Genomic DNA, 25008 nt, shown 5'->3' on the forward strand with positions numbered 1-25008 from the left:
CATGGCCTGTTAGGAACCAGGCTACACAGCAGGAGGTGAGCAGCGGGAGTCACTCGCATTACTGCCCGAGCTCTGCCTCCTGTCCCATCAGCAACAGCATTAGATTCTCATAGGAGAACCCTATTGTGAACTGCACATGTGAGGAATCTAGGAGGTGGAGCTCAATTTTTCTCCTTTAAGGAAAGGAAATAAGTAAGCATGGAAAGAGAGCCTAAATTTCTCCCTTTCCATGCTTATTCATTACAAGGGTATTCCTAAGTCCAATGGGCTTGGAAAGGGAGAAATAGCAACTCTACAGTAGAAAAACCTGGCAGACTTTACTGAAATATCACTAGTGTTAAGTCACTTTGACATCATATGCCCCTGATATAATGTGATGAGAAGGGCACTTCACCTCTGTGGTAGTCTTCTCAAAAATCCATAACCACAATTTAATCTTGAGAAAACATCAAACCTGTATTGAAGGACATTCTATAACATACATCACCAGTCTTCTTCAAAAGTTTCCAAGTAATGAAAATTAAAGACAGACTAAGAAGCTTCACAGACTGGAGGATACTAAGGAGACATGATGACTAAATTAATGTGGTATCCTGGACTGGCTCCTTGAACAGAAAAAGGATACAACTGGTAAAATCCAAACAAAGCCTGTAGTTTAGTTAATAGTATTATACCGATGTTAATTTCTTAATTATTTTATTTATTTATTTATTTTTAGAGATGGGGTCTCACTTTGTCACCCAGGCTGGAGTGCAATGGTGTGATCCTAGCTCTCCCAGTTCACAGCAGCCTCAAACTCCTGGGCTCAAGCGATCCTCCTGCCCCAGCCTCCTAAGTAGCTAGGACTACAGGCACATGCCACCATGCCCACCTAACTTCTGAGAACCAGGTTGGTCTCAAACGCCTGGCCTCAAGCAATCCTCCCCACCACGGCCTCCAGAGTTACTGGGATAACAGGTGTGAGCCACCATGACTGGCCCAGTTTCTTAGTGTTGATGACATATCACGGTTATGGCAAGATGTGAACATTAGGATATACTGAGGGAAGCATATATGGAGATTCTATCTGTAACTTCTGTAAACCTAAAATTTTCAACATTACAAGTTAAATACTGCCAATATTTAACTTGAAATGCTAAAGAGGATGAGATGCTAGAGAAGATGAGGAAAAACTGAAACTCATACATTGCTAGTGTGAACGCAAAATAGTACTGTATAGCCATTCTAGAAAACAGTTTGGCAACTTCTTTATAAATAAGTTAAATGTACATTTTTCATATGACCCAGCAATCCAACTCACAGTTATTTACCCTAGAAAAATGAAAACTTAGGTCCACAAAAGCCTATAATGTTATGTTCACAGCAACTGTATTCATAATCACCAAAGAATGAAAACCAAAATGTCCTTCAAGGAGTGAATGGATAAAAATAACTATAGTCTATCCATAAATGGAATACTACTCAGTAATAAAAAGGAACTAACCATTTACACACACAATAACTTTGATGAATCTCAGAGGCAGTATGCTGAATGAAATAAGCCAGTCTCAAAATATTACATAATGTTTGATTTCATTTATATGACATTCACGAAAAGATAAAACTGTAGTGAGGTTGGGCACGGTGGCTCACGCCTGTAATCCCAGCACTTTGGGAGGCCGAAGCGGATGGATCACAAGGTCAGGAGATCGAGACCATCCTGGCTAACACGGTGAAACCCCGTCTCTACTAAAAATATAAAAAATTAGCCGGGAGCGGTGGTGGGCGCCTGTAGTCCCAACTACTCGGGAGGCTGAGCTTGCAGTGAGCTGAGATCACGCCAATGCACTCCAGCCTGGGCGACAGAGCAAGACTCCATCTCAAAAAAAAAAAAAAAAAAAAAAACTGTAGTAACTCAGAACAGAACAGTGGTTGCTAGAGATTAGGGGTGGGAGGCTAGGTATGTTACCAAGGGTAACATGCAGAAGGTGATATAACTATTCTATGTCCCAGTTGTGATGGTAGTTACTTGAATCTATGTATGTATTAAAATTCATAGAACAGTATACACAAAAAGGAGTCAATTTTACTGTGTATTAATTTAAAAAAAAATTTAAAAAAAGGAAAAAAATTCTATCACATGCTGTCTAAAAGAGATACATCTAGGCCGGGTGCAGCTGCTCACGCCTGTAATCCCAGCACTTTGGGAGGCTGAGGTGGGCAGATCACCTGAGGTCAGGAGCTCAAAACCACCCTGGCCAGTACAGTGAAACCCATCTCTACTAAAAATACAAAAATGAGCTGGGTGTGGTGGTGCGTGCCTGTAGTCCCAGCTGCTCTTAGAGGCTGAGGCAGGGGAATCGCTTGAAACTCTCGAGAGGCGAAGGTTGTAGCAAGATAACGCCATTGCATTCCAGCCTGGGAGACAGAGGGAGGCTCCTTCTCAAAAAAAAAAAAAAAAAAATTAATAAACAAATAAATAAAAGAGATACATCTAGGCCAGGTGTGGTGGCTCACTTGAGGTCAGGAGTTTGAGACCAGCCTGGCCAACACAGCGAAACCTCATCTCTACTTAAAAACAACAACAACAACAAAACACAAAAATTAGCTGGGTGTGGTGGCGGGTGCCTATAATCCCAGCTACTCAGGAGGCTGAGGCTGGAGAATCGCTTGAACCTAGGAGGTGGAGGTTGCAGTGGGCACTCCAGCATGGGTGACGGAGACTCCATCTCAAAAAAAAAAAAAAAAAAAAAAGAGATACATCTAAAACATGGGGTATATATTATATACACGATGTATACATGCACTGAAACATCACAATATATCCCATAAATATGTACAATTATGTATCAATTAGAAATTAAGAGCTGGGCACAGCTCAGGGGTCCCTGCACTTTGGGAGACTGAAGAGGAAAGATGGCTTGAGGCTGAGTTCGTGACCAGCCTGGGCAACACAGCAAGACTACCATCTCTACAGAAAAATTTAAAAGTTAGCTAAGTATGGTGCATGCACCTGTGTCCTAGCTACTCAGAAGGCTGAAGTGATCATGTGAACCTAGGAGTTTGAGGCTTCAGTGAGCTATGATCACAGTGTTGCACTCCAACCTGGCTGACAGACACTCTGCCTCAAAATCAATCAATCAATAAATTTTAAATAAAAAAAAACATAGGCTATAGAGAGTTTGTTCATAAAAATACGATATTTCAAAACGTGGGATACAATTAAAGCAGGACTTAGAAATTTATAAACTTAGGCCAGGTGTGGTTGCTCATGCCTGTAATCCCAGCACTTTGGGAGGCTGAGGTGAGTGGATTACTTGAATCTAGGAGTTCGAGACCAGCCTGGGCAACATGGCGAGACCTCGCCTCTATAAAAATAAAAATTTTAAAAATCGGCTGGGCGCAGTGGCTCACGCCTGTAATCCCAGCACTGTGGGAGGCTGAGGCGGGCGGATCACGAGGTCAGAAGATCGAGACCACCCTGGCTAACATGGTGAAACCCCGTCTCTACTAAAAATACAAAAATTAGCTGGGCATGGTGGCGGGCGCCTGTAATCCCAGCTACTCAGGAGGCTGAGGCAAGAGAATGGCGTGAACCCGGGAGGCAGAGCTTGCAGTGAGCCGAGATCGTGCCACTGCACTCCAGCCTGGGCGACAGAGCGAGACTCCATCTCAAAAAAAAAAAAAAAAAGAAAAAAAAAATAATAATAATTAGGCTGTGCACAGTGGCTAATGCCTGTAATCCCAACACTTTGGGAGGCTGAGGCCAAGGTGTGAGGATTGCTTGAGCTCAGGAGTTTGGAGACCAGCCTAGGCAACATAGTGAGACCCTGTCTCTATTTTTTTAACTTAAAACTATTAAAAAAAAAAAAAAAAAAAAAAAGCCAGGTGTGGTGGCATGCACCTGTGGTCCAACTATTCAGGAGTCTGAGATGGGAGGAACACTTGAGCCTAGGAGGTGGAGGCTGCAGTGAGCTGTGATTATGCCACTGCACTCTAGCCTGGGCGACATAGCAAGGCCCTGATTCGAAAATAAAAATTCATAAACTTGAACTTAGAAAAGCAAACTAAAAATTAAGAACTTACACATATCTCAATAAATTTGAAAACAGAAGCCCAGAGAAACTAGAAGGAAAAAAACGGGAAAAGCAGCAATCAAAGAAATATGAAACAAAGAGGATCCACAATACCAATTGAGTCTTTAAAAATGCTCGTGCTGAGCCCGTGGCTCATGCCTGTAATCCCAACACTTTGAAAGGCCAAGGCAAAGGATTGTCTGAGTCCAGGAGTTTGAGATCAGCCTGGGCAACAGAGTGCAACCCCCAATCTCTACAAAAATAATTTAAAAATTAGGCCAGGCATGGTGGCTCATGACTGTAATCCCAATACTTAGGAAGGCTGAAGCGGGAAGACTGCTTGAGCCCAGGAGTTTGAGACCAGCCTGGGCAATACAGTGAGACTCCATCTCAAAAAAATTGTTTTTAATAATAAAAACAATGGAAAAAATTAGCTGAGTCCCAGCTACTCAGGAGGCTAAGGCAGGAAGATCACTTGAGCCCAGGAGTTTGAGGCTGCAGTGAGCTATGATCATGTCACTGCACTCTAGCCAGGGCGACAGAGAAAGACCCTGCCTCTGCAGGTGGGGGGGAAGAAATTAAAAATGTAAGTGTGCTTGATTTAAGAAAAAAAAAAAGAAGGGCCAGGTGTGATGGCTCATACCTGTAATCCCAGCACTTTGGGAGGCTGAAGCAGGCGGATCACAAGGTCAGGAGCTCGAGACCAGTCTGGCCAATATGGTGAAACCCCATCTCTACTAAAAATATAAAAAATTAGCTGGGTGTGGTGCCACACGCCTGTAGTCCCAGCAGGAGGATAAGGCAGGAGAATCGCTTGAACCCGGGAGGCGGCAGAGGTTGCAGTGAGCTGAGATCATGCCACTGCACTCCAGCCTGGCGACAGTGAGACTCTGTCTCAAAAAAAGAAAGAAAGAATGAGAGAGAGAGAGAGAAAGAGAGAGAGACAGACAGAGAGAGAGAGAGAGAGAGAGAGAGAGAGAGAGAGAGAGAGAATGAATATTAGGGTAAATGTCCAATATCAAGAATGGAAATGAGGGAGTGAGGGATGAATTAGGGTAAATGTCCAGTATCAAGAATGGAAATGATACATCACTACAGATCCTACAGATGGTAAAAAGATAAGACAATATCACGAACAACTTTGTGCCCACAAACTTGAAATTCCCAGAAGAAAAATAATTTATCAAAACTGATACAAGATCCCAGTCTGATTCTCAGGGAGAAAAAACAAAAACTGACACAAAAAATGAAAACCATAAATAGTCCCATAACCAATAAATTCAATCAGTATTGTTTCAACCTGTTCTATTCTAATGTCTTTGAACTGCACAGATTAACATTTTCAAAACATTTGTTTAAACTGACTGAACTTGCTTCCCACTCCTCTCCAGGTCTCTGTGCTTTTATACATTGATTATGCCTTCCAATAGTGCTTGCTAGGGGAAATCCTACTCACCCTTCAAGAATCAGCAAACTTTACATCCACTATGAAGCACACTATGAAGCATTCCCATCTTTCTCCAAAACAGGCCAAGTACCTCTTCTACAGGGCCAAAGCAACCCCATATACTCTCTGACATTGTCACACTGAATGTGTTTTGTTTACATACACCTCTCTCCTCAGATTATGAATTCAAGTACTTGGACTTTGATTTATTTCTCTTGGTGGATGCCCCGTGTTTCACCACACTGCCCAGGCTGGTCTCAAACTCCTGACCTCAGGTGATCCAACTGTTTCAGCCTCCCAAAGTGCTAGGGTTACAGGCATGAGCCACTGTGCCCGGCCTGTGGTTTTTAAAATGCTCCTCAGTCTTACCTATAAATGTTATTGCATCCATCCTTTTTAAACCAGGGGAAAAAGGTTTCCTACTATCACTTACCAAAGAGATGTGAAACTAGTCAGTATGGGTGAATGATGTTTCTTGGAGATTTTATGAGGTTCCACGCTGCATGATTTACCATGTGATGAGCACACTGCTTGACAAGCCTTGATAGAGCTACAAAAACAGTTCAGTACTCCGTTACTGAAAGGATCTTGGATTTAAAAGACATCATAAGGTTGCAGAAAGAATAAGTACACTAGAACCACTACAACCTACATCTGATGTTGGATATGTTATTTAACCTACCTGATTAAAGTGAGAAAACTGCAGAATATAAGGATTATCACCCTTCCCCCACTCCCTTCTTTACTGCCATGGTGGCAGGTTACATAGCAGACAACCATCATCTCCGCAGGTGATCAATAACCAACAGCTAATAAGGTAGGTTGTCCTAAAACTGACAAAAATAGAATAGGCTGGAAGTAAGGGCAGTAAAAACTGGTTGCCTTTCAATTCTGAAGATATTATGTGAATGCCTATGTCAGTCACTGATTCTTGGGATTTATCATTTTTGTGTGTGTAACAGGGTCTTGCTCTGTCACCCAGGGTGGGTGACTGCAGCCTTGACCTCCCAGGCTCAAGCAATCCTCCTCCTTCAGCTTCCTTAGTAGCTGGGACCATAGGCATACACTACTGTCCCCTGCTAATTAAATTTTTTCTTTTTTTTCTTTCTTTCTTTTGTTTTTTTTTCTGAGATGTCTTTTGTTTTTGTTCTGAGGTCTTGTTATGTTACCCAGGCTGGTCTGGAAGTCCTAAGCTCAAGCAATCCTCCTACCTTGGCCTCCCAACGTGCTGGGATTATAGGCATGAGCCACCATGCCCAGCCAGATTTATCACTGTTAAACCAGCAAGTCCATGACCTAAGTAATGTCTTTCTCATTTTACAGAAGGCAAAACTGCATAACCTTCCCAATGTCAGAGGTAGTGATTGGAAAACATTCGTCTAGATTCACAGCCTATTCTTCTGTTCTACAGCAAGGGACTGTAAACTGGTGACCACAAACACAGCCAACCCCCATACCCATGGTTTCAGTTACCCGCAGTCAACTGCAGTCTGAAAATATTAAATGGAAAATTCCAGAAATAAATAAGTCATAAGTTTTATTTTCCATGTTTGTTTTTAGAGACGAGGATTCACTCAGTCACCCAGGCTGGAGTGCAGTGGTGCAACCGTAGCTCACTGTAGCAGCCTCTACCTCCCATCTCAGCCTCCCTTGTAGCTGGGACCACGGGCATGCACCACCACTCCTGGCTATTTTTTTTTTTTTTTTGTAAAGAAGGTTTCTCACTATGTTGCCCGGGCTAGTCTTGAACTCCTGGGCTCAAGCAATCCTCCCGCCTTACCCTCCCAAAGTGCTGGGATTACAGGCATGAGCCATTGCACCCAGCCATGTTTTAAATTGTACATGGTTCTGAGTAATGTGATGAAATCTTGCACCATCTAGTACCATCCAGCCCTGGATGTGAATCATCCCTTTGTCCAGCTGTATATGCCACCTGCTCATTAGTCACTTGGTAGCCTTCTTGGTTACTTGAATGTTGCAGTATTGCAGTGCTTGTCTTCAAGTTACCCTTATTTTACTTAAGAAATGCCCCAAAGTGCAAGAGTAGCGATGCTGAGAATCTGGAAATGCCAATGTGAAGCTGTAAAGTGCTTCCTTTAAGTAAAAAGGTAAAAGTTCTTGACTTAATATGGAAAAAAAAATCATATGTGGAAATTGCTAAGATCTATGGTAAGAACAAATCTTCTATCAGTGATAATGTGAAGAGGGAAAAATAAATTCACATTTGTTTTGCTGTTGTACCTCAAACTGCAAAAGTTATGACCGCAGTATGTGATAAATGCTTAGTTAAAATGGAAAAGGCATTAAATTTGTGGGTAGAAGACATCAACAGAAAACTGTGTTCCAACTGATGATAATCAGGTTTGGTATTATCTGTGGTTTCAGGCATCCACTGGGGATCTTGGAATATATTTCCCACAGATGGCTGGGAACAGGACTACTCTGTGTGTATATCTCCTATTTGGCTCACATATTACTTTTAAAAATTGAGATAAAATCCATGTAACATAAAACTCATCATTTTAGGGTACAATCAGTACCCTAAAATGGTGTGTTTTCGTATATTCACAATGCTGTGGAACCATCACCACTATCTGATTCCAGAACACTTCATCGCCCCAAAAAGAAACCCAGTACCTCAGAGGATTAACTCCCAATAGCCTCTTCCTACAATCCTCTGGCAACCAATAATCTGCTTTCTGTCTTCATGTATTTGCCTATTATGGACATTTCACATAAATGGAATCATGCAATATGTGGCCTCTTCCACTTAGCAAAATGTCTACAAGTTTATCCACGTTGTTGCAAGTATCAGTAATTCATTTCCTTTTACAGCTGAATTCACTGTATAAATACATCACATTCTGGTTGTCCATTCACTGACAGATATTTGGACTGTCTCCACTTTTTGGCTACTATGAAATAATGTCGCTAGGTGCATATGTGTACAAGTTTTTCACTTTTTTTCCTTTTTTTTTTTTTTTTTAGAGTCAGGACCTTGCTCTGTCACCCAGGCTGGAGTGCAATGGCATGATCATAGTTCACTTCACTGCAGCCTCACACTCCTGAGCTCAAGTGATCCTCCTACCTCAGTCTTCCAAGTAGCTGGGACTATGGGTGTGCGCCACCACGCCCAGTTAATTTTCTGCATTTTTAGTAGAGACAGGGTTTCGCCATGTTGCCCAGGCTGGTCTCGAACTCCTGGATTCAAGCGATCATCCCATCTTAGCCTTCCAAAGTGTTGGGACTACAGTATGAGCCACAGTGCCCAGCCTTCACACTGTTTTTAAAAAGTAAATCAGGGGCCAGGCATAGTGGCTCACACCTGTAACCCCACCAGTTTGGGAGGCTGAGGCAGGCGGATTACCTGAGGTCAGGAGTTCATGACAGCCTTGGCCAACATGATGAAACCCCATTTGTACTAAAAATACAAAATTAGCCAGGTGTGGTGGTGGGCACCTGTAATCTCAGCTACTTGGGAGCCTGAGACAGGAGAATCACTTGAACCTGGGAGGCAGAGGTTACAGTGAGCTGAGATCGCGCCATTGCACTCCAGCCTGGGTGAAAAGAGTGAAATTCCGTCTCAAAAAACAAAAGAAAAGGTATTAAGGTGAATTATGTATTAAAATTTTTCACAATTAATATTTTTCAAAGTGACAGTTACCAAAATTAAAAAAAAATTTAACTTTCTATTTCTTAAAAGAAATAAAGCAGGAGGGAGGGCAGGTAGGTCTGTCTGTCTGGTAACAATGACTCTTCATTCCTGCACTGACAAAAACCTGCTGGATATGCTAAGCTGTGACTGTCCAACAACTGGCTCTTTTAACAGACACCCAATGGAGATACCACACGTAAACCTGGACAACTCTTCATTTACCTTATTGACTCGACTCCTGAAGGCATTTGAGCAATCAATCCCTGGTTTATACTAAATATATAAATTTACAAATAATAAGATGGGGGAACTCTTATTTAGACTACACAAATTTTGGAACTGAAAATGCAGCTCAACAATGAGATCAGTGGCCATGAACTCTCTGGTAAATGTATATAAAGCAGCATGTACATGTACATTTTTTTTTGAAGAAAAAAATTATTACAGGCTCAGGAAATCTGTAAACTCCAGCAAAATTAATAATTCCTGAGTTAGACAAACAGAAACTCATCTAAGAAGGCTAACTTGGTGATTTACATAAATATTAAAAAATTAAACTGCTCAAACTAAGTATATGCCATTCTTTCCTGAAGGAAGACAAGAAGACAATGTATCCTAGGCTTCAGAGTATGAGACCCAAGCTTGATGAATGATTAACAAAATGTCAGCCTCAGAAAAGATACAGTAGCATTCAGAGTTAGTCAGGTAGAGATAACAGTTTTACAAAAGGGAACTTTACTTCTGCCTCACATTACTGCTTAGAAAATAAGAACTTGAATTTCTTCACTACTGTCCAACCTTAAATTGTTCACAGTCTTGTATTTTAAAGCATATCCTTTGAATCATGTGTCCAAAGAGAATTACTTGTGGGTCAGAGAGGTACCTTAAAATGGCTTTAAAAACTTAAAACCAAGATTATTTTCAGATTGTTTACCCCCTTGAATCTTAAAACTGTTCAGATATCCAATTACTGAGCTTTCTAAATTAGTGCTCCCAGTTTTTCTAAACTTTTAACTTTTTTTTTTTTTGAGATGGAGTCTCGCTCTGTCGCCAGGCCTGGAGTGCAGTGGCACGCTCTCGGCTTACTGCAACCTCCGCCTCCTGGGTTCAAGCGATTCCCCCGCCTCAGCCTCCTGAGTATCTGGACTACAGGCAAGCGCCACCATGCCCGGCTAATTTTTTTTTTTTTTTTTTTTTGTATTTTAGTAGAGACAGGGTTTCACCATGTTGGCCAGGATGGTCTTGAACTCCTGATCTTGTGATCTGCCCGCCTCGGCCTCCCAAAGTGCTGGGATTACAGGTGTGAGCCACTGCTCCCAGTCTTTTTTACAGTCAAGACAGAAAATAATATTTGTATGGCACAATGGGGTAAATGATCAAGACTGCTCTGGATCTGAGGTCATTAGTTTGGATGCTGTATCCAAACTATATTCTGCATGAATGGCCAGAGGTGTGAGGGGACCAGTATCTCAACACATCTGTAACGCACCCTAACACAATACACTGGTTGAGAAATTCTAGTTTAAATAACTTGTGGAGATCACGACCTGAATAGTCAAAATCCATGCAGCAGGTTGAGAAAACTATTTCACAATTCCTCTTATTTCAAGAGATACGCAATCACCTTTTGCAGCTTTCAAGTATAGACCAGATGTACTAACAGGCAACCATTTCGTCTGGAAGATCATCTATTTGGAGGTCACTGACACAAAAAAACAAAAACAACAAAGACAAAACAAGCCTCCTTACCCTAGCTCAGAAGGATAAGCCAAAAGAAAACAGGTTAACGGTAAAAATGTATGATTAAATGAAGTTATTGTTTTTTTTCCTCCACTTCATATTGATTCTCTTTTCCCATGTCAATTTAAGGTGGTAACCATGGCCAACAACATTCTCTCTCACCTATCATACTAATGCCATATAAGTAGTAGTGTTTTTGTTTTTTCAAGTGGGGAAATATATACAGCTCAAAAAAACAAAAAAATATCTAGCAACTAACTCCTTGGCAGTTCCCTTGACTCTCTGACCTTTAAGTCCCAAGGTTCTAAGTATACAATGAATAAGAAAACTACCTGTTCAAACCCAACAGAATATGTTTTTTTCTGGTTTGATTAAGGCTTCGAATTTGGAACATAAATACTCTCAGTAATACTTAGTAATTCATGAAGTTACTGCTTGTGTAAACTTGCAGAATATTTAACTTTAGGAGATTATAAATCCTAACATGCCCCTAGGGGCCTTCTGCTTTTATTCCTACATACAAAACATACAACATGTTTGTTTTTAAAAACAATGCACATAGGCCAGGTGTGGTGGCACACACCTGTAGTCCCAGCTACTTGGGAGGCTGAGGCAGAAGCATCACTTGAACCCAGGAGGCAGAGGTTGCAATGAGCCGAGATCATGTCACTGCACTCCAGCCTGGGTGACAGAGCGAGACGCTGTCTCAAAATAAATACATACATACATACAAAAAAATTAAACCAATACACGGAAGTATTACTTCCATAAAACAAACCAGGAAGTACAGTAAAACAGAAAACATTAGCATTTGGGCCTTTTGTGTGAATTACATTTCTCCACCTTCAACCCAGAAAAGGGATCTGAGTGTCAATGTGACATAAATGACATAGCAACAGTGTGAGGTCTCCCAATGAAGGGAGGTATTAGAAGAAAATCCAAGCAGTTTGATTTGGATTAATAGTTCTACCCCAAACACCTAAGAGAAATCGGAATTCCAGTACTGTCTCTTACAATATAGTCATCATCTATACACCTTTTTACCACGCCATATAAGCAAAATAAAGTCACAATGTGAAACTTTACTCCACTGGCTATTACCCTCTGGAACCAAAAGATGGAAAACTTCATTTGGGATATACAGTAATCTAAAGAAAAATTCAGCACTTATGAATGTAATAACTACTGTTACCATTTGAATGCCTCTTACAAACCAGGCACAGTATCAGATGCATATTCTGATTTTAGAAATAAACAGATTCAGAGGTTAAATAATCTGCCAAAAACAACAGGATTACTAAGTGGTGGAAGCCAGATCTGTTTAGGATCCAAAGCCTAAATAGGTTCTTTTCACTAAATTTAATACTATTTCCTTAGTTCTCCAAACTGATTTATTAACAGCCTATCCAAAACACTATAATAAAATGAACTGCTTTAAATTTGGAGGCAAGGTAGGGGTGGGATACTGAGTTTCAATAATCAGGTTTCTTCATTATTCTTTTACCTGAATGGGCTGGCCACCAGGCCACAATTGTATAAAAATCAGATTTTAAATGATGGAAAAGCTTTTCTGTGTGGCTACTGAAGGGAGAAAGGAAGACAACTGAGACATGCCCCACCTTGCTGGCTGGGGGCTGGTGACATCTGTGGGCCTCAGTGTTGGACTCCAGATGCAACAAAGCCTAAAGTTTTGAATATGTATGAAGGTCAATGTGATGTTTTCCAAAAACAGTCATAAAAGATGGCTGTGAAAAACCCCCTAGTATAACAACTGTATGTAACAAGAGCATATAGGTAGCTGCAGATGAATGCTCAGGTCCTTAGCTGTGGTGTTTAAAAATTCTTCAGACCAGGCTGGGTGCAGTGGCTCACACCTGCAATCCCAGCACTTTGGGAGGCCGAGATGGGTGGATTGCCTGAGCTCAGGTGTTAGAGACCAGCCTGGGAAACACAGTGAAACCCCATCTCTACTAAAATACAAAAAAAAAAAAAAGCCAGGCGTGGCAGCGTGCGCCTGTAGTCCCAGCTACTTGGGAGGCTGAGGCAGGAGAATTGCTTGAACCCGGGAGGTGGAGGTTGCAGTGAGCCAAGGTCGTGCCACTGCACTCCAGCCTGGCAACAGAGTGAGATGCTATCTCCCAAAAAAAAAAAAAAAAAAAAAAAAAAAAAAAATTTCTTCGGACCAGTGTGGTGGCTCATGAGTGTAATCTCAGCACTTTGGGAGGCTGAGTTAAGAGGACTGCTTGAGCCCAGGAGTTTGAGACCAGCCTGGGCAACATGGTGAGACCTTGTCTCTACAAAAAAAATTAACAACTACCCACAAAGAAAACCCTAGCTCAAGATGGCTTCACTGGAAGGAAAAATGAACTGGTCAGGAAGACAGACAAATAGAAGCAAATAATGAAAGCATTTTATTTGACATTGATAACCTTCTCACAATAAATTATGTGGCAAAATACATGCTTGAATACTTAATTGCTAGGCAATAGTCTATTTTCATTTTTTCACAAAAGGTAGACAACTCCAAAGCAGATGGCCATTTGTAGCCATTCTATATAATCATAAATACACAAAACACTGGCCGGGCGCGGTGGCTCACGCCTGTAACCCCAGCACTTTGGGAGGCTGAGGCGGGTGGATCACCTGAGGTCAGGAGTTTGAGGCCAGCGTGGCCAACATGGCGACACCCCGCCTCTACTAAAAATACAAAAATTAGCCCGGTGGGGTGGCATGCACCTGTAATCCCAGTTACTTAGGAGGCTGAGAGAGGAGAATCACTTGAACCCAGGAGGCAGAGATTGCGCCACTGCACTCCAGCTTGGGCGACAGAGCAAGACTCCATCTCAAAAAAAAAAAAAAAAAAAGTTTTAAAGTGCCGATAAATACAAGTTCCTGGTCTGCCTACAGTTTATCACTTAATAATACAAAGCAAACAAGAAAGCAAGTTAGTGGATTACCTGAGAGAGCAAGACATAGAGAAGATGTTAATGCAGGGAGCTGGCCTTCTCCAAACATATCCCTAACACACAATATTCAAGCAATTCCCAAACTGTGATCAGAGAACCACTGGGAGTAAGACCTCTGATCTATATTTACAAGTCTATAGGTGAGCAAAGGTAGACCTTTTCCTGAGTCTGAGATGGGAATATTACCTTCTCTATCTAGAAGCAAAAGAATCCTAGACTCACCAGGACTAGGTAATAGACACTGTACACGAGTAATTGAGGTAATCTACACTGGGCGTGACTTACATACTGATCCACCCCTAGGCAGCAATTCATACCTCACCCACCCAACAGGCTACATTAGAAACAAGGAAGTACAGGTCAAAAGTCTCATTAAAAAAATAAGAACTCTTGGCAGCAGAAAATGAAAATAAAGAATGAAGAATGACAGCACTGGCAATAAACACATTCTTTTCTCCGAAAGGGAAGGGAAAGAACTAATGTTGGGCACCCACATGCCAGACATTTTATCAATTTTCTCCTTTAATCCTCAATAATCCTGAGATAATACTAGCTAGTACTCTAGTTATTAATCCTCACAAAAATCCTGAGGTAGGTACTACTAATTCCCATGTTACAGGTGAAGAAACCAAAAGTTAGTAAGTTGCCCAAGGTAGTTGTTATCCGAACTGTAGAGACAAGAACTCCCAGACTTGAAGAGGTTAAGTAAACTTCCCCAAACTCAAAGTGGGAGTTCTTTCCCACTAACCTATTGCCTTCCCCTCCCTACCCGCAATCTCAATTAATTCTCTATTCTACCCCCTTCTCATTTCTGCAGCTGTTTCAAAAACTACACCTAAGATACAAAGCAAATAGGAGTTATTATAAGAAAACACCTCCAAAATCTACTAAGTTGTGGTATGATATGCCTGTTATCAGAAAACGTCACTCAATTTTGAGCTTGGAGGGCAGTGACAGTTTGGAGATCTTTAGCACAACGCCTGCCAGAAACGTGGCAGGCGCTCAGGATCTGCTGAATGAACAACATCTTCTGAGTGGTTATGAATTCAATAACCCAAAATGACCATCTCGTATTTCTGGATATGACATGATACCATTTTTTGGAAAATAATTTACCCATTCATTTTAAACAGGGTAGCTTTCTTAAAATTTATAGAACATTGATGAGATAGCTAAACTGAGAAATGCCCATTAAAGCATTAGTCATAACTTCAGGAAAATTTCAAATGTTCACTTTTCCAAGCAAATTAAAATGTTTCAGCTAATAAAAACCTGTCAGAAAAACCCACAAGACAAGAAAGTATAAAAAGAAAAGAGCAGCCAATATAAGGGCATTTAAGATGTCACACATAAAAAATTATAAAACATTAATCTAACTTGTACCTTGGTATTTAACCCTAAAACTGTCACCTCAGATAACACAATATTTTCTATGCAAGAAAACATTATCACCACGAATGTAAAGAAGCTTGCCGACCATAGCAACTGTTGCTACGTAGGGTTTTTTAATGTCTAAGACTGAAAGACAGAATTTGTAGAAACCAGTTAAAATGCCACTCTTAGCAGTATCTTGTGATACTGTGAATGCTTTCACCTTAAACTTTTTAAAAGACTCAATCTTTGACTTCTACATGTGAAAAAAAAAAAGTACATCTGGGAGCACTCAACGTAAGAAAACTACCAATTGTCTATAACCCAATGAAAATACATCCTTTGTTACAATGACAGCAGCTACTTTTCCTTAATAATCCTAGAGGAATTTCTTCATTTGAAAAGCTGGCTGGCCTAGATTTCTCTATAAACTAAATGACATGCTACTTTCGAAATTATCCATTTCAGAAGTTCAAAGAAATTCAGGTATAAGAACACATTAATACTCTCATGAAACAAACCTTATCCAGGTTACCCACGAATTGTGACAGATCAAAACCCAGTTTCTCATTTCAAATCAAGTATCACATTATTTATTACCTTAAAATACTAAGCCCTTACCTAATTCAATGGCAAATCATATTGGTTTTCAGTTTCTGAACTTGTACAAATCATACTGTAATATTTATGCAAAAGTTGTCATATAGTTGAATATTATAGACAGTTAACATCTTTTTTTTTTTTTTTTGAGACGGAGTCTTGCTCTGTCCCCCAGGCTGGAGTGCAGTGGCGTGATCTTGACTCACTGCAACCAACCTCCGTCTCCCAGGTTCAAGTGATTCTCAGCCTCCTGAGTAGCTGGGACCACAGGCACGCACCTCCACACTCAGCTAATTTTAGTAGAGATGGGGTTTTACCATGTTGGCCAGGCTGGTCTTGTCCTGACCTCAAGTCATCTGCCCACCTCGGCCTCTCAAAGAACTGGGATTACAGGTGTGAGCCACCATGCCCGGCCAACAGTAGAAAAGGGTACTCAGGGAACATAGTTCAAAAGTCATGATTCTCTATTGGCTGGACCAGGATTCTAGACTAGCTCTAGGGCTGAGATATCTTAGTAGACCAGTTAACATTCATGTGGCCCAATTTCCCTTACTCTAAACCCAAAGTCAAACATAACCTCTAAAGTCTTTCATACCCTGAAATGCTAATCTTGTAATCATCTTTCTATTCAGGTAATAACTCAAAAGAAATGGTCTCACTTCCTTCATCCTCTGACTAAAGTTTAGTTAGTCCATATTTTATGAATCCAATTAATAGGATACTTTAAAGAACAAAAAGAAAAGACTTTTCTTAAAAGCTAGAAACTCCATTCTGTAGTGATGATTCCCAGATCTGACTCTTAAACTCAACAACCTCAACAGACAATGACAGGGAGAAAAGATCTTACAAGTTTGAGCTGAGCTGGGGTGGGGTGGGAGGTGTGAGAGAACAGAGAGACAGTTACAAATTCACAAAAATGTATCACCCATTTCCATCTCCTCTAAAAAAATATGAAATAAGCCTTAAAAGGCTGTCATAGAAACCCATTATTAAGCCAATAAAAACTAATGAAGAAATTATGTCATTTATCCAAGATATGGAAGAACCACCTATTTACAGAAATCCTACCAATGTCCTAGACCTTCAGAAACTACATCTCACTAAGCTGACCATCAAGCCCCTTCAAACTGCATCTAAGGACAATAATAATATTCAAACATCAAGAAACAGGCACAGGTTCCACTCAACACCATTATTCCGTGGAGTCTTCCAGGACTAAATTGTTTTATAGAATCTTTGCTATCTTTGTTCTCTAGAAAATGATATCCCAAAGACTCTAAAATAAAACCAGCAAAACCCCTGTATTTGTTTTCCATTGTGTCATAACAAATTATCACAAACAAAACAACACAAATGGATTATCTTACAGAAGTCAGTGGGCTTGACTGGGTCTCACAAGGGCTAAATGAGGGTATCCAGTGGGTGGGTTCCCTGCTGGAAACTCTGGGGAAAATTTGCTTCCACATTCATTCAAGCTATTGGCTGAATTTAGTTCCTTGCAGCTGTAGGACTGAGTTCCCACTTCCTTGCTGGTTGTCAGCTGGGACTGGCCTTTCCTACTAGAGGCTGCCTGCATTCCCCGTCTCACACTTTCAATCTGGTCCCCTCCAGTAACGGCAGGCTGAGTCCTTCTCATGCTTCAAATTTGACTTCCCCTTCTGCCTCATCTCTGACACCAGCCAGAAAAAGTTCTCTGCTTTTAAGTGCTTATGTGAGTAGAATAAACCCACCCAGAAAATCCAAGATAATCTACCTAAGATCCTTAACTTTAATTAAATCTACTTAACATATTCATGTTCCAGGGTTTATAGTATGGAAATCGTAGGGGAGCCATTCTGCTTACCGCAGTCTGCCTTCTGGTTTCCAAGGATTCATCTCTCTCTCAAATGCAAAATACATCCATCCCATCCCAAGGTCCCAAAGGTTTCCCATCTAAAGCTTATCATTTCAGAAGTCCCAAATCTCATTCATCTATTCAGGTGTGGATGAGGTTCTGGGGACAAAACAGTAAGTCCAATTCCTGGGGCACAATTCCTAAAGAAACAAGTTCTCTACTCCCAACATACCACTGTGAGACATGTAGAGAATAACAGTTAGACATTCCAGTTCAAATGGGCAAAATGTAAAAGAAAACAGAGCCTCCGGTCCAAAGCAGTTTCAAAATCTAGGGAATCTCCATTCCATTTCAAAGCCTGGGAAAAATCCTCTCCAGCTTTTAGCTCCACCCCTCTGGGCTCTCCTATCTCCGTCTGAGTCACCCTGATTCTTTTATGAAAAGCAACACATTCACATGTGAGTAGTTTTATCAGCCTGCTTCCTATCAGTAGAATTTGGGGGGTCCAACAGCCCTATTACTTTCTGTCTCTTTCAATCCAAACTAGAACTGTTTATGTTGGCATAAAATTCTCAAGAACCTAATGGGCTGTGGAAGTATTCCACATGGGTCCACTCCATTAAAGTTCACATTCACAAATAAACCAGGCTGCACATTTAATACTTTGCTTGGAAATCTCAGCTAAATATACAAGTTCATCACTTGCAAATTTGGCTTTCCATATAACCATAGGATACAATTCTGCTAAACTTAGTTGCTACTATGTAACAAGGATCCCCTTTCTGCCAGTTTCCAATAAGAAAGACCTCACTTCTGTCTGGGCCCTCACTAGCAGAGTCATTAACATCCATATTGCTACTAAAAGTATGTCCTAGGCCTTTTCTTTTTTGACAGGGTCTCACTCTGCCACCCAGGCTGGAGTGCAGTGGTGCCATTACCGCTCACTGCAGCCTTGACTTCCTGGGCTCAAGCGATCCTCCTGTGTTCCAGGCCTTTTCTATCATGCCCCTCAAAACAATTCTAACCTTTATCTACTGCCACTTTCATTTTTAGGTAATAGTACCCCACTCCTGGTACCAAAATCTATACTAGTGTTCTACTGCTGCCATAACAAATTACCACAAATGTAGTAGCTAAAAATAACACAAATTTGTTATCTCACAGTTATTGTAGGTCAGAAGTTGGGTGGGCTTGGCTAGCTAGGTCTTTTGCTTAGGGTCTCACGAGGCCAAAAATCAAGGTGTCTCAAGGTTGCATTCCTTGGTGGAAACTGGGAAATTCACTTCCAAGCTCAATCAGGTTGTTGACCAAATTCAGGTTCCTTCTGGTTGCACAACTGAGGTCCCCATTTCTTTCTGGTTGTCAGCCAGGGACTGGTCTTTGCCACTAGAGGCTGCCCACATTCCTTCTGATAAACTTTCCATGTGGTCCTCTCTAGCAAAGGCAAATGGAGTCCTTCTCATGCTTCAAATCTCTGATTTCCTTTTCTGCCCATTTCTCTGATCCCAGTTGGAGAAAGTTCTCTGCTTTTAAGGACTTAAGTGACTAGATTCGGCCCACCCAGAAAATCCAGGATAATTTTTCTATTTTAAGATTCTTAACCTTAATTACACCTGCCAAGTTCCTTTTGCCATGTAACACAGGATAGCTACAGATTCTGGGGATCAAGGTATGGCACCTTGGGAAGAGGGAGATGTAATTCTGCCTACTACAAATCCAAGTCCTATGGAAGGGTTTAAACTCACTTCCTAAAGAAAATCATCCCTTTCTTTAACAGAGTGTGAAGTAAAGATGTATATATTTTACTTATGTGAAGTAAAGTATATATACATACATACATATGTCTTTACTTATGTGACACAAAGATGTATGTTCAGAGATAGAGACAATAGTAAAAACAAGGACTCACTCTGGATGAGTGAGTAGGAAAAGGACGCGCAGTATGGAAAAGGAGTTGCCACCTGTTTCATCCTCAAATTGCAAGGCACTTCACCCATAACTACTTAGAAACTAACCCATGCTCCTCCTTAAATGTGTATTTCTCTTCTCTGTATTCCACAAAGGAGTACATAACTAGGCTTTTTTTTATTTTTAAAGAAAAGTCACCTCACGGGGACCTAACTGTATAATCAGTTGATTAATCAATCTAAGCAAATTTCCAATCTTGCATTCTTTCTTCAAGTCATACACCCTCCCGCAATAGCAAACCAAAGCCAAGTATTTCAAAGTCACAGAAGGACAAAAACATGCCCTGCTAAGACTGCAGGTGAACTTTTGAGAATACCACGGAGGAGAACTAGTATTGGTACTGGACTTTCAGCCCCAGGTCCACCAAGCCAGTAAAGCCAAATGACTTACAACAAAACCCTACAACAACTACAAAGATACTACTCTAAAGCCCTGTCTACAGTCAAATTCTTGACTATAAATTTTACTTAGAACAGAAGAGCCCCAAATATACCAGCTAGTCCCTTTACAGTGACAGGTAAAAGCTACTTACTACACTTACTACCTGCCAGACACTGTAGTAAGCACTTGACACAAATTGTCTTATTTACTCTTCTCCGTAAACTCACAAGCTAGAAAATACCATCATCCCCCTTTTACAGACGGGAAAACTGAGGCTTAGAGAGTTTAGGTCACACAGCTAAGTAGCAATGGCCCTGATATTTGAGAACCTAGGCAGTCTGGTTTTTAACCACTGGGCCTACACTGCACTCCTCAGATGGAATGAAGTCTCCAATTCTTGGAAAAATCTTCCCTTCTTAGTTTTCTTTTTTCTTTTTGAGGCGGAGTCTCGCTCTGTCGCCCAGGCTGGAGTGCAGTGGCGGATCTCAGCTCACTGCCACCTCCGCCTCCCAGGTTCAAGCGATTCTCCTGCCTTAGCCTCCCGAGTAGCTGGGATTACAGGCGCGCGCCACCAAGCCCGGCTGATATTTGCATTTTTAGTACAGACGGGGTTTCACCGTGTTGGTCAGGCTGGTCTCGAACTCCTGACCTCGTGATCCACCCGCCTCGGCCTCCCAGAGTGCTGGGATTACAGGCGTGAGCCACACGCCCGGCCTCTCTTCTTAGTTTTCATTTCCTCTCCCCATGTCCCATTCTCGTAGAATTAAACAGCTGAAAAGTAATCAAGTCTTCCCAAATAATTTGCCACCTTCTTTTCAAAACTCTTTCCTCCACACAAAGCAATAGCCAAGATGCAACTTCTCCTGACCCTGACTCTGCTTCCCCAAAACAAACTACAGAAGCTCCACCCATCACCTGCTTAATCTAGCAATGTTCCAACACTGCAAAAAACACACAACGAAAAACAAAATTGAAAAGTCCTACTCTTTCAAAAGGTCACCAACATATGTATACCCTTAGCCAAGCTTTCTCTCCATACCTCTTTTTCTATCCAGGCTCCTAACTAGTCCTTAACTCCAACTCCAGACGTTCTGCCCCACGTCTTGGTCCCTTCCCCCTTTCGCCCCAGCAACCCCGCCTGGGGTTCTCTCCACCTCGCACCCACTCTGCAGGTGGGAAGCTCAGCCCCGCCCAGAGGGACCCTAAGAAGGCCCCTACTCCAGCTGCCCAGTTTCGCGGGAGGGTTCACTGCACACTACCCAGCAGGCACCACTCCCTCCGCACCCTCCCCCAGCACCCCCCTGCGGCCCCACCCCTCAAGTTCCCTTCCCCCTCTGACGACCCCCTCCTCCAAGTTGTCCCCTAGTCCCCACCCAGTTCAGTCCTCTCCTCTGCAATAAGCTGGACTCCGGCAGCCGGTTCCCACCCTCACATCGGCCTCTGCCCCCAAACCTCGCCCTCCGCCCTGAGGGGTGGCCCCTGGGCCTCCCCGATGGGCTGCAGGGGCCTCGCTTGGTTTATGTGTGAAGGTGGGGGCAGGGGAAGGCGACGGGCCGCTCAGGAGTCTGCTGGAAGCGTGAGGGTCGGCCGCGCTCCGCTGCCCTATCCTGGGCCCACCCCACCCGCCAACGACCTCGCCTGGCTGCTCCCTAGGTACCTGTGGTGGAAGCGGCAGCGGCGGCGGCCGCTCTCCCCTCTGCTCACACAGACAATATGGCGGCGATGGAGGAGGAGACACACGGCTCGGCCGCCAGCCGCAGGGACCAGAGCGAGGCTGCAGCCGCTGCTGCCGGAAGCGGAAACCCCCTCCTACCAGGAGGCGGGGCGAGACAGCTTCCGACTCCGCCCCCAGAGGAATCTCTCTGAATGCGGCCATGCTGGGATGTCCTATTGTAACCTTAGGGATTCAGTTCTGGCCTAGGGTGCAAAATGGAAGGAATCCCCAACGCAAAGCAGAATAAGGAGACTTGCAATAGTTAAGCGCATTTTATTTCAATAGTGTTAACAAGTGACAACAGAGAGAACACGAACCTCCCATTAGGTGAACAGTTGGTTTGACCCAAGTTAAGATGGCGGTACCCAGGTTTCCCACACTTCACCCAGCTGGCCCCCCTTTCTTGAAAAGAACCATGCGCGACCTGCAGAGCTGTAGAGCCAAGCATTCTGGGAGCTGAAGTCTCTTTTGCTCTGACCCCTCGTTTTAAATTAGGGTTTCAGCAACACTTTCTATTCAAACTTGGAGTTCGGAAGAAGTGAATGAAAGTTGGACCCTAGGAAGGGCATGGCGCAGGAGTCTGAGAAGTGAGGATACTAGCTCTCAAGAGACCAAGGCCCAATTCCTTCCTCCTACAGGAGTCCTGCCAAGAGCTGTGCGTCCAAAATACAGTGTTTTTTTTTCCTTCTATCTGCCTCCCACCCCTGCTCTCCTTGCCCGAGCTACCTCCCCAAAACAGCCACAAAGCACTTTCTACCATGCAGAGCTCATCATGGTCTCCCTATGGTCAAAAATCTCCCATGGACCTCTTTATGCACCAAAGATAGCCCAAACTCTTCACTTGACATTCAGAGTCCTCCATAATTTGGCCAAACCCTCCTTTCCAGCCTCCTATTCTGCCACTCTCTTCTCAAATTCCGGAAGATTCCACCCACAAGACTGCAAACAATTCCTGGAACTTAGCTGTGTTGCCTCCCTCCCTTTACACTGGCAGTTACTTCTCTTACTGTCACCTCATGGACTGGATAATTTCTGTATGCCGATTGAACTAATTCAGGGATCCTTTCCTCTAGGGGTCTCCTCTCTGTTTAACTCCCTCCAACCCAGACACTATCAGTCAGTAACCTGAGGACCTCAGTCTGTCTCCTCCATCAGACTGGGAGCCCCCAGTGGACAGGGCTCCATCTGATGATCAACCTCTCCTTTGCAGGCCCTGATAAAAGCTGAAGCGTCTAAGAGTTGCTGAAAGGAGTTCAAGTATTAGTCTCACCTCTGGTGGGACAGAGGTGTGAGCACTGGAACGAGGGTGAGGAGGCCAGGTTCTTTCAGTACCAACCATTATCCCTAACTGTCTCAGAATAGCTGGTTGTCTCAGGAATGGGCCTCTCCACCCTCCACAGCCCTGCCTTCACAGTTTGTCAGCTGACTAGCACCTCTGCTCCCAAAGAGGCACCTCTTCCCCATGTGGGGTTAGGGCTGGTGGTGGCTGCAGACTTATAGTGATGGCCTCAGGGAGGTGGCTGTGGCCTTCTCTGGACCTCATCTGCTAGACAGCTTGTGACATCTGATCCCAATTGCCTGGGAACCCACAACAGTTTTTCTCTCAGTGTCCTGTAACTGGGCCTCAATTTCCCCACTTGTGGACTGAGGAGGTTATACAAGATAATCCCAAAGTTTCTGGGAAGCCATCTTCCAGGAAATGATACCCTTCTACCTACCTCTCGAACGTATCTTTTTGGCTCTTGTGGCTTTGTTTTTCCCAACTGTATTCACATTTGTTTAACTCACAACAATTCATCATTTGCTATGAGCCAGACACTGTGCTAGGTACTGGGGATGTGTTATGAGGAAGACATACACCAGTTGCTCACTGGTGGAGCTTACCTTCTAAAGTGAGAAGCAAGTAATGCACAGGTAAACAAATGCATAAACAAAGTAATTTCAGGTAGCAATAAGTGCTACGAAAGGAAAAGATAAGTAGCTGTGAAGTATAGAGCTTTAGCTTGAGTGGTTCAGAAGGTCCCTTTGAGAAGGAAACAGTAAGTGCAAACGTCCCAAGGCAGGAAAGAGCATCACAAGTTTGAAGAAGGAGGCCATGGTGGCTGAAGCACTGCAAATAAAGGGAAGAAGAGGAAGAAATATGGTGGGAGAGGTGGGCAGGGCATTCAGGTCATGATAAGGAAGCTGGGTTTTCATCTGAGTGTAGTGAGGATATTTCCCATTGCTTAGCCTTCATGCCTTTCCAATCTCAGCCTCTCTCACAGCATTAGTTCTTCATTCTTCTTCCTAGTTCTGGCCTCTATCCATGACTTCATTCAGAGGGCTCACCTGGGCACACATATACAACCCTCATACTCATGCAGGACATAATTGAAACCCAACTCCTGCCGTCTACTACGCCAGCCTCATGTAGGTCTCCGGTCTCAAGAGGCTTCCCATCCCAAGTGTTCACCTAGTTGTAGACTTAACATTTATCCTTAACTCTTACTGTCTCTGATCCCCCACATCACACCTCTCAGGCTAGTCTTTCTGCAAACAACAGCAGCAGAAGCAAGAGTTAAGATGTTGAGAGTACTTGCACTGTGCCACACACTGAATGTTCATCATCTCACTTAATCCTCATGTCAACCTGATGAGGTAGAAACCAAAAGTATCTCACCGTACAGATGAGGAGACTCAGGTTCACAGAGATCACAGGCCATGCCCAAGGTCACATGCCGGAGATGGAGCTTGCATTTCAACCTGGGCCATTAGAGTGACTCTCTCTCTCTCTCTCTCTTTTGAGACAGGATCTTGCTCTGTTGTCCAGGCTGGAGTGCAGTGGCATGATCACAGCTCATTATAACCTTGAACTCCTGTGCTTAAGCGATCCTCCCACCTTAGCCTCCTGAGTAGCTAGGACTACAGACATGCACCACCATGCCTGGCTCATTTTTAATTTAGTAGTATTATTATTACTATTATTATTATTGTACAGATGGGGTCTTGCTATGTTGCCAGGGCTGGTCTTGAACTCCTAGGCTCAAGCAGTTCCCCTGCCTTGGCCTCCCAAAGTGCTAGAATTACAGGCAAAAGTTTTAATCATGCACTAAGAACCTAAGTGTATTTGCTTTCTATTGCTGCTTAACAAAATCACCCCACAATATAGTGGCTTAAAACAACAATATTTTATGTTTGTGTGGATTGGCAGTTTGGACATGTCTCAGCCAGGACAGCTCTTTTCTGCTCCAAGTGGTCTTTCCTGGCTTACTCTTACGTTTGCTGTCAGTGAACAGGC

The 25008-nt window shown here is 42.8% G+C and overlaps 1 protein-coding gene across 5 annotated transcripts in view, besides 8 other annotated features; it reads right to left on the reverse strand.

Moving 5' to 3' along the window:
- CSNK2A1 (casein kinase 2 alpha 1) overlaps positions 1–21793 on the reverse strand; it is a 71293-nt gene extending 49500 nt beyond the window's left edge. For 3 of the 5 annotated variants that reach the window (NM_177560.3, NM_001362771.2, NM_001895.4), the window contains exon 1: positions 21675–21793. The gene's annotated coding sequence lies outside the window, so the exon portion shown is untranslated. Of the gene's footprint in view, positions 1–5935; positions 6053–21674 lie in introns of all 5 variants that reach the window. The other 2 variants (NM_001362770.2, NM_177559.3) reach the window with 1 other exon arrangement.
- Positions 12685–12734: an enhancer, noted in NCBI's record as "active region_17440". NCBI's record gives its function as "activates an Ori minimal core promoter by ATAC-STARR-seq in GM12878 lymphoblastoid cells {active_cell/tissue: GM12878}" and the evidence as "EXISTENCE:reporter gene assay evidence [ECO:0000049][PMID:35858748]".
- Positions 20113–20806: an enhancer, noted in NCBI's record as "H3K4me1 hESC enhancer chr20:522754-523447 (GRCh37/hg19 assembly coordinates)". NCBI's record gives its function as "activates a minimal SCP1, AML or CMV promoter by ChIP-STARR-seq in naive H9 embryonic stem cells {active_cell/tissue: H9 hESC(naive)}" and the evidence as "EXISTENCE:reporter gene assay evidence [ECO:0000049][PMID:30033119]".
- Positions 21299–21358: a silencer, noted in NCBI's record as "silent region_12579". NCBI's record gives its function as "represses an Ori minimal core promoter by ATAC-STARR-seq in GM12878 lymphoblastoid cells {active_cell/tissue: GM12878}" and the evidence as "EXISTENCE:reporter gene assay evidence [ECO:0000049][PMID:35858748]".
- Positions 21500–22193: an enhancer, noted in NCBI's record as "NANOG-H3K27ac-H3K4me1 hESC enhancer chr20:524141-524834 (GRCh37/hg19 assembly coordinates)". NCBI's record gives its function as "activates a minimal SCP1, AML or CMV promoter by ChIP-STARR-seq in naive H9 embryonic stem cells {active_cell/tissue: H9 hESC(naive)}" and the evidence as "EXISTENCE:reporter gene assay evidence [ECO:0000049][PMID:30033119]".
- Positions 21679–21828: an enhancer, noted in NCBI's record as "active region_17441". NCBI's record gives its function as "activates an Ori minimal core promoter by ATAC-STARR-seq in GM12878 lymphoblastoid cells {active_cell/tissue: GM12878}" and the evidence as "EXISTENCE:reporter gene assay evidence [ECO:0000049][PMID:35858748]".
- Positions 21849–21928: an enhancer, noted in NCBI's record as "active region_17442". NCBI's record gives its function as "activates an Ori minimal core promoter by ATAC-STARR-seq in GM12878 lymphoblastoid cells {active_cell/tissue: GM12878}" and the evidence as "EXISTENCE:reporter gene assay evidence [ECO:0000049][PMID:35858748]".
- Positions 22039–22088: an enhancer, noted in NCBI's record as "active region_17443". NCBI's record gives its function as "activates an Ori minimal core promoter by ATAC-STARR-seq in GM12878 lymphoblastoid cells {active_cell/tissue: GM12878}" and the evidence as "EXISTENCE:reporter gene assay evidence [ECO:0000049][PMID:35858748]".
- Positions 22199–22258: an enhancer, noted in NCBI's record as "active region_17444". NCBI's record gives its function as "activates an Ori minimal core promoter by ATAC-STARR-seq in GM12878 lymphoblastoid cells {active_cell/tissue: GM12878}" and the evidence as "EXISTENCE:reporter gene assay evidence [ECO:0000049][PMID:35858748]".

Source organism: Homo sapiens, chromosome 20 (genome assembly GCF_000001405.40).
Source record: "Homo sapiens chromosome 20, GRCh38.p14 Primary Assembly".
NCBI classification, from domain to species: Eukaryota; Metazoa; Chordata; class Mammalia; order Primates; family Hominidae; genus Homo; species Homo sapiens.